Genomic DNA, 13,154 nt, shown 5'->3' with positions numbered 1-13,154 from the left:
TTCATTTGTCCGACATTTCATATTTGTTCCTTAGTCCCTCCCGTAGCTTCAGAATCCGTTGGAGCTGCCCAGAGACTGATATATCTTGTACCGGTTTGGGGAGGGCGAGGAGCAACTTGTGGATTGGGTGTTGCTGGGAGACCCCTTTTTGAGGGAGAGCTGCCCTGTGTCCTAAGCCCGGGCTTTCAGTCCGGGTTAAGGCATTTAAGTGTTAATGTGACTTTTGAACAAAGTTCGCTGTGACCTTTTTGTTCGTTTTTGTTTGTCTGTGTAAAACAGGGTCTTGCTCTGTCGCCCAGGCTGGAGTGCAGTGGCGCTATCATAGCTCGTTGCAGCCTTGAACTCCCGGGTTCAAGCGACCCTCCCGCCTCAGCCTCCCGAGTAGCTGGGGCTGCAGGCACGCGGCGCCACCACTCCTGGCTAATTTTTTAATTTTTTTGTAAAGCTGAAGGGCGGGGGGGTTGGGTCTCCTTATGTTGCCCAGGCTGGTCTCAAACTCCTGGTCTCGAGCGATCCTCCCGCCTCAGCCTCCCGAGTAGTTGGGGCTACAGGCGCGTGCCACCACTCCCAGCTAATTTTTTTTTTTTTTTTTTTTTTGGTGAGATGGAGTCTCACTGTCGCCAGGCTAGAGTGCGGTGGCGCAAAGGCTCACTGCAACCTCCGCCTCCCGGGTTCAAGCGATTCTCCCGCCTCAGCCTCCCGAGTAGCTAGGACTACAGGCCCACGCCACCACGCCCCGCTAATTTTTGTATTTTTAGTAGAGACGGGAATTTCACCATGTTGTCCAGGATGGTCTCGATCTCTTGACCTCGTGATCCGCCCGCCTCGGCCTCCCAAAATTCTGGGATTACAGGCGTGAGCCACGGCGCCTGGCCCTAGCTAATTTTTTAATTTTTTTGTAGAGCTGGGGTTGGAGGTGGGGATGGGGGTAGGGGGTTGGATCTCCTTATGTTGCTCAGGCTGGTCTTGAACTGAACTCTTGGCCTGAAGTGATCCTCCGCCTCGGCCTCCCAAAGTGTGGGATTACAGGTGAGAGCTTACATAAACAAGCCATTCCAGGCACCCAACAAACCATTCACATAGCAGTCAGATTGGGGATGTGATGGTCTCAGAGAAATGCTAGTTTTTGTCCCTAGACACTGCTAAAAAATCAGATAGTTGAAATATAAAAGAAGTAAACACAGTAAGCACCTTTAGGCTGTTTTTATATTTAAAATCAAAACTTGAGAAATGAGCACTTAAGTGGAAGATACTGTTTTAACTCAGACACGAATGGAAGTAGGAGGATGAGTTTTATTGACCCATATTGTCCTGATAGTTACTTCAGGTCTCTACTCAGCTTTGAGTTCAGAAAGCTCACCAAGGCTGGGCGCAGTGGCTTGTGCCTGTAATCCCAGCACTTTGGGAGGCCGAGGCAGGAGGATTGCTTGAGCCCAGGAGTTGCCCAGCCAGGGCAACATAAGGAGACTTCGTCTCTACAAAAAAATTAACAATTAGTTGGGTGTGGTGGTGTGTGCCTGTAGTCCCAGGTACCTGCACTTGGGAGGCTGAGATGGGAGGATCGCCTGAGCTGGAGAGTTGGAGGATGCAGTGAGCCATAATCACTCCATCACACTCCAGCCTGGGCAACAGAGCAAGACCCTGTTTCAAAAAAAAAAAAAAAAAAAAAGGAAGAAAGAAAAGAAAAAAAGCTGCTGGACTCACACCTGTAATCCCAGCATTTAGGGAAGCAAAGGCAGGAGGATAGATTGAGCCCAGGAGTTTGAGATTTGCCTGGGGAATATAGTGCTCCACAAAAAGGAAAAACAAAATGTGCATGCACACACACACACACACACACAAACACACACACACGCACACACACTTAAAAAAAGCTGACCAGGTGGTGTGGCTCTAACAGTTACATTTCTCTGCCTCAGCCTTAAAGTTGCTGGTGTAGGGCTCATTGCATTGAGGACTACTGGCTTTTTCCCCCTCTCCTATACTCCCTAGAAGCATTTTGAAAAGCTATGAATCCCCTTATGTATTTTTATAGTAAAATATACATAAGATTTGTCGTTTTTAAGTGTTTGGTTAAGTGGCATTAAGCACATTCATAATGTTGTGTAACCATGACCGCTCTACAGTTTCAGAACTTCATTAATCACAAACAGAAACTCTGCAGCATCCCATAAATAATTATTCCCCATGCCCCCTTCTCCCAGTTCTGGCAACCACCATTCTACTTTCTATCTCTATGAATTTGACTACTCTAGGTACCATATATAAGTGGAATCATACAATATTTATCCTTTTGTGCCTGGCTTATTTTACTAAGGTAAAATAAACCTTGTCATCAAGGTTCCTTCATGTTATAGCATATACCTGAATGTCATTCCTTTTTATGGCTGACTAAGGTTCCATTGTATGGATATACCACATTTTGTTCAAGCATTCATCTGTTTATGGACACATGGGTGGTTTCCACCTTTTTTTTTTTTTTTTGAGTCAGAGTCTTGCTCTGTGCTGCAGGCTGGAGTGCAGGCGCAATCTTGGCTCACTGCAACCTCCCCCTTATCGGAGGAATCGTTCAGATGATTCTCCTGCCTCAGCTTCCCCAGGAGCTGGGATTACAGGCATGTGCCACCAAACCTGGCTAATTTTTTTTTTTTTTTGAGACAGAGTCTTGCTCTGTCACCCAGGTTGGAGTGCAGTGGCATGATCTCAGCTCACTGCAACCTCTGCCTCCTGGGTTCAAGTGATTCTCCTGTCTCAGCCTCCTGAGTAGCTGGGATTACAGGCATGAATCACCATGCCTGGCTGATTTTTGTATTTTTAGTAGAGACAGGGTTTTGCCATGTTGGACAGGCTGGCCTCGAACTCCTGACCTCTGGTGATCCGCCTGCCTCAGCCTCCCACAGTGCTGGGATTACAGGTTTGAGCCACCGTGCCCCGCCTAATTTTTGTATTTTTAATAGAAATGGGATCTCACCATGTTGGCCAGGGTGTTCTCGACCTCTTGACCTCAAGTGATCTGCCTGCCTTGACCTCTCAAAGTGATTACAGGCATGAGTCACCGCGCTTGGCTCTCAACTTTTCACTATTGTGCGTAGTACTGCTAGAAACATTGGTGTACAAGTATTTGATTAATTTTTTTTCCAATTATTTTGGGTATATACCTAAGAGTGGTATTGTTGGGACATATGGTAATTGTATTCGATGTCTTGAGTAATTCCAAAATGTTTTACACTGTGGCTGCACCATTTTACATTCTCACCAACAATGCATGAGAGTTCCCATTTCTCCACATCCTCACCAACACTTGTTATTTTCTTTTTCTTTTTCTTTCTTTCTTTCTTTTTTTTTTTTTGAGACAGAGTCTCCCTCTGTCACCCAGCCTGGAGTAGAGTGGCACGATCTTGGTTCATTGTAACCTCTGCCTCCCAGGTTCAAGGGATTTTCATGCCTCAGCCTCCCGAGTAGCTGGGATTACAGGCACGCACAACCACGCCTGGCTAAATTTTTGTATTTTTAGTAGAGACAGGGTTTTTCCATGTTACCCAGGCTGGTCTCGAACTCCTGAGCTCAGGCAATCCGCCTGCCTCGGCCTCCCAAAGTGCTAGGATTACAGGCGTGAGCCACTGCACCCAGCCTATTTTTTCTTTTTAAAATTTCTCTCTCTATAGATATACATATAGATAGATATAAATAGATATAGAGAGATCTATCTCTGTATATCTATCTATATATATCTATCTCTATATATAGACAGGGAGATATATCTATAGATCTATATATATCTATATATCCCTGTATAGATCTATATATAGTAATCTATGGTAATCTGAAATTACTATATATATGTATTACTGTATGTGTGTGTATATATATATATATGTATACACACACACACAGAGATTGAGAGAGAGAGATGGGATCTTGCTCTGCTGCCCAGCGTAGACTGGTAGACCACAGTGGCATGATCATAGCTTACTGAATACTCAAACTCCTGGCTTCAAGTGATCCTCCCCACTCAGCCTCCCAAAGTGCTGGGATTACAGGCACCACACCCAGTCTCTTTTTCTTTCTTTAAAAAAAAAAAAAAATATATATATATGTATATATATACATACATATATATATATATATATATATATTTTTTTTTTTTTTTTTGTAAAAACAGGGTCTTTCTGTGTTGCCCAGGCTGGTCTTGAACTTCTGGCCTCAAGCAATCCTCCCAAAGTGCTGGAATTACAGGTGTGAGACATTGCACTCAGCCTTTTTGTTTTGTTTTCTTTCTTCTTCTTCTTTTTCTTCTTCTTTTTTTTTTTTAAAAAGCCAGTTGGATACAGTGGCATGCTCCTGTAGTCCCAGCTAGTCCGGAGCCTGTAGTGGGAGGATCCCTTAAGCCCAGGAGTTTGAGGCTGCAGTGCGCTGTGATCATGACACTGCACTCCATGCTGGCGTGCATGAGAGATGAGAGACCCCATCTCTCAAAAAAAATTTTTTTTTAAAAAAGATGGCTATCCTAGAGGATGTGAATTGGTATCTCATTGTGGTTTTGACTTACATTTCCCTAGTGACTAATGATGTTGACCATCTTTTCATGTGCTTATTGGTATATCTTCTTTGGAGAAATACCTATTTAAGTTCTTGGCTCATTTTTTGAAGTCATACTGTCTTGTCGTGTATTAATATGGTTTGTCGTAGAAATAAAAATTACTGGCAAATTTAACACTCTATTGAATTCGAGTGAATACATTAACAAAGAAAACATTTTGGTTATGAACAGAGTAAGTATATAATATGTAGTTAGTTCTTTCAGTTCTTTCATTCTCTTTTGGAAGATCTCATTTTCAACGTGTGTGTTGAGGGTTGGGTGGGGTTAGTTTCCCAGTCTTACTCAGACATATATACAAACCTCAGATTAAAGTGAGAAAGAGTTAGGAATACTCAAATAATTGTTTTATGTCTTCTCTGCCTTGATCTGAACTTAAAATTTTGTGGAGGGAGAGACTATTGACCCTCTTTCTCCATTTATTGTTTCTATACAGGGACAATGACGAAAGACATGTTTATACAATAAGATTAATTACATTTCAGTAACTTTGATCCAATTCAGAATGATGCTGCCCTCAAGTAAAAAAAACTTTTTCTTTTTCTTTTCTTTTCTTTTTTTTTTTTTGGAGTCTCACTCTGTTGCCCAGGCTGGAGTGCAATGGTACGATCTCAGCTCACTGCAACTTCCGTCTCCCAGATTCAAGCAATTCTCGTGCCTCAGGCTTCTGAGTAGCTGGGATTACAGGCACACACCACCAGGCCCAGCTAATTTTTCTATTTTTAGTAGAGACGGGGTTTCACCATGTTGGCCAGGCTGGTCTTGAACTCCTGACCTTGTGATCCGCCTGCCTCGGCTTCCCAAGTAAAAAACTTTTTTTTCCACTTACTATTTTGGGGATATTTAAGTGAATCTGAAATTACTATTGGATTTTTTTTTTCTCTTGAAACAGAGTTTTGCTCTTGTTGCCCAGGCTGGAGTGCAATGGTGCAATCTCGGCTCGCAGCAACCTCCACCTCCCAGGTTCAAGTGATTCTCCTACCTCAGCCTCCCAAGTAGCTGGGATTACAGGCACCCGCCACCACGCCCAGCTAATTTTTGTATTTTTACGGAGACAGGGTTTCACCATGTTGGCCATGCTGTTTTCACCATGTTGGCCGGGCTGTTTTCGAACTCCTGACCTCAGATGATCCATCTGCCTCCCAAAATGCTGGGATTACAGACGTGAGCCACCTCACCCGGCCCTACTATTGGATTTTTAAAGACAGATATTTAAGAACATTCTTTGCTAGAACTGAGGACAATTTAAACTTATTCCATTCAAGAAAACTTAGTGCAGAATGCAGACTTTCCCTTTCAAGTATATGTAAAAGTTAACTTCTTTTTTTTTCCACCTCTGGAAGACAATGTACAATGTAGTACTCTTCAGATACACTAATGAGACCCTTTTTATACTTTAACAGGGACGTAAACATTTCCTTTTGTAACAAAAATAAATTATGGGTTTCATTTTAAAAAGCCTATCCCCAAGAAATGTTTTGAGTGTTAATCTAAGTAAGATTTCATTATTCTCATAAGTAAAACTTTGAGTTCAAATAAAGTTTTGATTTTTTTTTTGATAATTGAAGGTATATGTAGGGGCTCAACCTAAATGCCAGGGAATTAACCCTCCATAGGAAGTAATCATATAATTCTAAGTCAGTATATAATTGAATTGATGTAGGATTTTTAAGTATTCTCTCAACTATATTAAATGAATTGTTTTTCCAGTTTTCTAGTGGTCCAAAAACTTAAATAGGCTGCAAATCTGCTGTGATTCAAACCGTGCAATTCCTCACAGGCATCTCTGACTTGAGGGACTAAGTTCCTGTAATTATGTGTCCTGAAATTAACTGGGTTGCCAGATAGGTTTTCTCAACCTTTAATAGCTTGTTGGAAGGCTTACAGAATGCTCTTTATTAGAAATATTTGGAACTACTTCCCCCCTTTTGGATACTCAAATTAGTGTTTTTCTAGTTCTCTGGCATAATTTGTATAGCTGCTTCCTTTGTAGAAAGTAAGCTTATGTTCTGCTTTTCCCTTTCTGGTTGGCTGGAGTGCTAGGTCACTCTTATCTGTGCTCTAGGAAACTTTTAGATTTCTACTTAGCTTAGGATGACACCCTGAAAGATTTAGGGTCTGCTTCTGTTTGGGTTAGGGGGTAGACACTTGAATTCATTGGTCTTTTTTTTGGCTCACTGCAGCCTTGACCTCCAGCACTCAAGGGATCCTCCCACTTCAGCCTCTAGAGTAGCTGCAACTATAGGTGCCTGCCACTATGCTCACTAATTTTGTGTATTTATTGTAGAGACAAGGTCTTACTGTATTCCTAGGCTGGTCTCGGACTCCTGGACTCAAGGGATCTTCCTTCTTCAGCCTCCCAAAGTGCTAGGGTAACAGGCATGAGCCACCATGCCCGGCCAAATAGATTGGTTTTTATCAAAGATGCTGTAATATTAATATGCATCTTCCTGCTATCCCTTCAAAAGTGAGAATTAATGTTGTTTTCTTTTCTTTTCTTTTTTTGAGATGGAGTCTCTCTCTGTCACCCAGGCTGGAGTGCAGTGGCGCAATCTTAGCCCACCGCAACCTCTGCCTCCCGGGTTCAAGCAATTCTCCTGCCTCAGCCTTCCGAGTAGCTGGGATTACAGGTATGCACCACCACACTCAGCTAATTTTGTATTTTTAGTCGAGATGGGGTTTCTCCATGTTGGTCAAGCTGGTCTTGAACTTCCGACCTCAGGTGATCCGCCTGCCTCGGCCTCCCAAAGTTCTGGGATTACAGGTGTGAGCCACTGTGCCCAGCCCAAAAAAGACTTTATTTTTTAGAGCAGTTTCAGGTTCATGGCAAAATTGAGAGGGAAGTACAAAGAGTTCTCATATACAGATTTGCTGCCCCTTCACAGATGCAGCCTCCCCCAATATCAGCATCCTGCACTAGAATGGTACATATGTTATCATCAATGAACCTACATTGACATATCATTATCAATCAAAGTCCATAGTTTACTTTAGGATCCACTCTTGGTGGTGTACTTTCTATGGGTCTAGAACAGTATATAGTGACATGTATCCACCATTTTGGTATCATACAGAATAGTTTCACTACCCTAAAAATCCTCTATGCTCCGCCTCTTCATTTCTCCCCCCCCTCAACCCCTGGCAACCACTGATTTTTTTTTTTCTATCTCCATAGTTTTGCCTTTTACAGAATGTCATAGAATTGGAATCATACCATGTGTAGACTTTTCAGATTGGCTTCTTTTACTTAGTAATATGCATTTAGGGTTCCTCTATGTATTTTCATGGCTTGATAGCTCATTTCTTTTTAGCACTGAATAATATTTCATTGGATGTACCACAGTTTATCTATTCACCTACTGAAGGACATCTTTCAGTTTTGGCAATTATGACTAAAACTGCTATAAACACCAGTGTGCAAGTTTTTGTGTGGACATAGTTTACAACTCATTTGGGTAATACCCAAGAGCACAATTGCTGGATCATATGGTAAGGGTATATTTAGTTTTGTAAGAAACTGCCAAATTATCTTCCAAAGTGTCTATACTATTTTGCATTCCTACCAGCAATGAATGAGAGTTCCTGTTGTTCCACATCCTTGCCAGTATTTGGAATTGTCAGTATTTTGGATTTTAGCCATTCTTTTTCTTTTTTTTTTTTTTTGAGGTGGAGTCTCTCTCTGTCGCCCAGGCTGGAGTGCAGTGGCACGATCTCAGCTCACTGCAACCTCCGCCTCCTGGGTTCAAGCGATTCTCCTGCCTCATCCTCCCAAGTAGCTGGGATTACAGGCGCATGTTACCACGCCCAACTAATTTTTTTTTTTGTATTTTTAGTACAGATGGAGTTTCACCATGTTGGACAGGGTATTTTCAAACTCCTGACCTCAGATGATCTGCTCACCTCGGCCTCCCAAAGTTCTGGGATTATAGGCGTGAGCTACCATGCCTGGCCTAGCCATTGTAATAGATGTGTAGTGGTATCTCATTGTTTAGTGCTTTTTTTTTTTTACAGGGTCTTGCTCTGTCACCTAGGCTGGAGTGCAGTGGTGTGATCACAGCTCACTGGAGCCTCGACCTCCTGGGATCAAGCGATTCTCTCACCTCAACCTTTGAAGTAACTGGGACTAGTCATTATCATGCTTTGTTGATTTTTAGGTTTTTTTTTTTTTTTTTTTTGTAGAGAGGGAGTTTCCCTGTGTTGCCCAGTTTGGTCTCAAACTCCTGGGCTCAAGTGATCCTTCCACCTTGGCCTCCCAAGGTACTGGGATTACAGGCATGAATGAGCCATCTTGCTTGGCCTAGTTCTTTTTTTTTTTTTTTTTTTTTTTTTTTGAGAGGGAGTCTCACTCTGTCACCCAGGCTGGAGTGCCGTGGCACGATCTCAGCTCACTGCAGCCTACTTCTCCCAGGTTCAAGCAATTCTCCTGCTTCAGCCTCCCGAGTAGCTGGGATTACAGGCATGTACCACCACACCCATCTAATTTTTGTATTTTTAGTAGAGATGGGGTTTTCACCATGTTGGCTAGGCTGGTCTCAAACTCCTGACCTTAAATGATCCACCTGCCTTGGCCTCCCAAAGTGCTGGGATTACAGGCGTGAGCCACTGCGCCCGGACTTTTTTTTTTTTTTTAAACCACTTTCTTTTACATATCCCTGGCTCCTAATTGCTTTTCTACTTTTTCTTACTGCTCCAGCTTCTAGATAAGTGGTTCTCAAAGTGTGGTCCTTCAACCAACAGCATCATCACCACCCAGGAACTTATTAGAAATGGAAGTTCTTGCACCCTGCCAAAACCAGAAACTGCGGATGGGTCCCAGCAATCTTTATTTTAACGACTGTTAAAATCAGAATCAAGTGATTCTGATGCAAACTTAAGTTTGAAAACATTGTTCTATTAAAAGTAATGGCAAAAACCGCAATTACTTTTGCACCAACCTAAGAGCTCTGCACTGTTCAATATGGTAGCTTCTAACTATTGAATTTTTTAATGCTATTATCTCCTTTATTCAAAAATAAATATTTCACTTTGATTCAACATATTTCAAATTACATTAAGCACAGAGAGGAAATACATTCCCTTTGGAGATTGTGAACACGTGTTGGAAAGAGGCATGATCCAAATAATGGGGATGAGGTGAGTGTGGATTCCAGCTGCTTCCTGACCCAGAAGTTCTGCCCCTCTTCAGGTGGAGCTACTTATCGATTTTTAGGCGAGAAAAAGACAGACACACACACACACACACACACACACACTGCTTTGAAGTCTGAAAGGCATATGAGTGGACCGTAAGGTATATGGCACGTTCACTGATAAAACATCCCCTACTCCCTCCCAAGAAAAGCAGAGACACTTTAATCAAGTCAAAGGCCAGAGAAGGGCCTGGTGCAGTGGCTCACGCCTGTATCCCAGCACTTTGGGAGGCCAAGGCGGGTGAATCCCGAGGTCAGGAGTTCGAGACCAGCCTGACTCATATGGTGAAACCCTGTCTCTACTAAAAATACGAAAATTAGCTGGGCGTGGTGGCATGTGCCTGTAATCCCAGCTACTCGTGAGGTTGAGGCAGGAGAATCGCTTGAACCCAGGAGGCAGAGGTTGCAGTGAGCTGAGACTGCACCATTGCGTTCCAGTCTGGGTGACTGAGCGAGACTCTGTCTCAAAAAAGAAAAAAAAAAAAGCAGCGAAGACAGGGTGCTCCTGCTTATAGCTCAGCAGCATGAACATCTCTGAATATGAAAGCCATTTTTCATTTGCTTCTACCTCCTGTGCCTCCTTTCCCTGCCGACTGGGTCCGTGGATGGCCGCGGTGCTCACTTGGTGATGGTGGGGCGTGTGGCTGCATACACAAACACCACAATCAGCAGCACGACCGCGGCCAGCGTGGGCAGCACCACCGTGGTGATCTGCTGCCGGGCCTCCTGCATGGCTTGCTTCTGCTCCTTCTTGTCCTTCCATGTCTCCTTCCTGGGCTTCCCTTTGAGCTGCCTCATCTTTCCTAGAAGATGCTGGGAGGCTGTGTCCAGAGGGATTCCAAAAAGGGCCACAATCCTCTTGTCAAGGCTGGAACCTCCTTTTCTTCAACTTGATTCAATAATTTCAGCAAACTGATTTCCAGTACAGGTGACTTGACTTATTTGTTGTAACAGATCATGTCTTCAACATGCAACACTCTCAGATGGTGCAGCTGGGAAAATGGACAACATCTTTACTGATCTTTAGCAGTCTGTAACTATTGAATTCTTATAATATATTTAGAATGAACCGAGATGGGCTATAAGTGTAAGATACATCCTGGATTTCAAAGGCTTAATATGAAAACAGAGAAAGTAAAATATCTCACTGGTAATTTACATATTGATAGCATTAAAATCATATTTTTCATATACTGGGTTAAATAAAATATTAATTTTACCCTTTTAAAAGTTTTTACATGAGATTACTAGAAAATTTTAAATTACATATATGGCTCTCATTATATTTTTTTCTTTTTTCTTTCTTTCTTTTTTTCTTTTTATTTTTTTAGAGATGGGTCTCACTATGTTGCCTAGGCTACATCTAACTCCCAGGCTGAAGCAAATCCTCCCACCTCAGCCTCGCAAGTAACTCGGACTGCAGGCATGTTCCACTGTGCCTGCCTTCAGCTCTTATATTTCACACCATTCTCCTGCCTCAGCCTCCCGAGTAGCTGGGACTACAGGTGCCCACCACCACGCCCGCCTAATTTTTTTGTATTTTTAGTAGAGATGGGGTTTCACCATGTTAGCCAGGATGGTCTCGATCTCCTGACCTCATGATCTGCCTGCCTCAGCCTCCCAAAGTGCTGGGATTACAGGCATGAGCCACTGTGCCCGGCTTTCTTTTCTAAGAGACAGAGTCTCACTCTGTTACCCAGGCTGGAGTGTAATAGTGGATGTAATAGCTCACTACATGCTTGAACTCCTGAGCTCAAGCAATCCTCTTCCAGCCTCATTCTCCCCAGTAGCTAGGACTACAGGTGCACACCACCATGCCCAGCTGATTTTTAATTTTTTTTTGTAGAGATGATCTCTTGCCATGTTACCCAGGCTGGTCTTAAACTCCAGGGCTCAGGGAATCATCTCACTTTGGCCTCCCAAAATGCTGGGATTACAGGTGTGAACCACTGTACCCAACAGCTCTCATATTTCTATTGGACAGCGTTGTTCTAGACCATGGGTCTGCAAACTACAGCCTGTGGGCCAAATCTGGCCTACCACCTGTTTTTGTGCAGCCCATGAGCTAAGAATGGTTTTCATTTTTTAAGTGGTTGAAAATAATTTTTAAAAAGAATGATGTCCTCTGACATGTAAAAATTATATGAAATTCAAGTTTCATTGTTTATAAGTAAAGTTTTATTGGAACACGGGCACACTCATTTATTTGTTTATCATCTATGACTGCTTTTGCTTTACAGTAGCAGAACTGAGTAGCTGTGATAAGGATGTGCAGCTTGAAAGTCTAAAATATTTACTATCTGGCCCTTTATGGCAAATGTGTGCTGATCCCCGTTCTAGACCATCAGCTTTCATATATTCCCTGGAAGAGGACCCTGCTTTTAACTTACTCCTATTTTTTTGTTCTCAATCTTTGCTTAGCTTTTAGGCCCAACTCCTTGATATGCCACTGCCCAAATCTCAGTGGTATTTTGGGGTTACAAGAGCTGACCTATGCATTCTTTAGACTACAAAGAAGTCAGCCAAAAATGTTCTTGCCTTCCTAGAGCTGCACAGGAACTGGTGGATCTAGCAAAAGAGAACAGAGAGATGTTCAATAGCTTCTTTCTCCAAAGGTAGGGACTTCCTTCTCAGAGGACAAGCAAATCCAGGATTGATACAACATCAGACTGAGAGGGGAGCCTATGATTTGGCTGGCCAGTTTCTTTTCACAGCTCAGTGATACCTCCTTTTTTTTTTTTTTTTTGGATACAGAGTCTCACACTGTTGCCCAGGCTGGAGTGCAGTTGCCTGATCTTGGCTCACTGCAACCTCTGGCTCCCAGGTTCAAGCGATTCTCATGCCTCAGCCTCCTGAGTAACTGGGATTACAGGCATGCACTGCCATACCCGGCTAACTTTTGTGTTTTTAGTAGAGATGGGGTTTCACTATGTTGGCCAGGCTGGTCTCAAACTCCTGGCCTCAAGTGATCTGCCTGCCTCGGCCTCCCAAAGTGCTGGGATTACAGAGATGTGAGCCACTATGCCCGGCCAGCAACGCCTCTTGAATTAAATCTTCTCTCTCTTCCTCTCTCCCTCTCTTTCTCGCTCTTGCTCTCGCTTATGCTCACTCTCAGTCAGTGTAGTTGGCTTCTGCATGGTCTGTTCCTGCCAGATATTTCGTGGAACTCACTATGACATTTTTTTCCACTCCAATGAAGCAGACATCTGGATCCTTTAGTGAGCTTCTTGATCCCAGTGTGCAACCAAAGCCTTGTTGGCTTAGTGAATCTTTATGTTCTCATGTTATAGGATTCCTAAGGAAGAGGAGTAAGGCTATGGTTTCAGAATGTTAATTGATAACGGTTCTTGGCAACAGTGCTCTTCCTG

General features: G+C 43.0%; 1 long non-coding RNA gene and 1 pseudogene across 1 annotated transcript; one reads left to right on the top strand and one right to left on the bottom strand.

Moving 5' to 3' along the window:
- Positions 1 to 5,645: 5,645 nt before the first annotated feature.
- LINC01180 (long intergenic non-protein coding RNA 1180) lies at positions 5,646 to 9,631 on the top strand. Its single transcript, NR_110661.1, has 3 exons — positions 5,646 to 7,227; positions 8,609 to 8,710; positions 9,291 to 9,631. It is a non-coding gene; the product is annotated as a long intergenic non-protein coding RNA 1180 (long non-coding RNA).
- On the bottom strand, positions 9,580 to 10,729 carry SMCO4P1 (single-pass membrane protein with coiled-coil domains 4 pseudogene 1; annotated as a pseudogene).

This window comes from Homo sapiens, chromosome 17 (genome assembly GCF_000001405.40).
Source record: "Homo sapiens chromosome 17, GRCh38.p14 Primary Assembly".
Classification (NCBI taxonomy): domain Eukaryota; kingdom Metazoa; phylum Chordata; class Mammalia; order Primates; family Hominidae; genus Homo; species Homo sapiens.
This window is presented reverse-complemented; position numbering and strand designations above follow the sequence as displayed.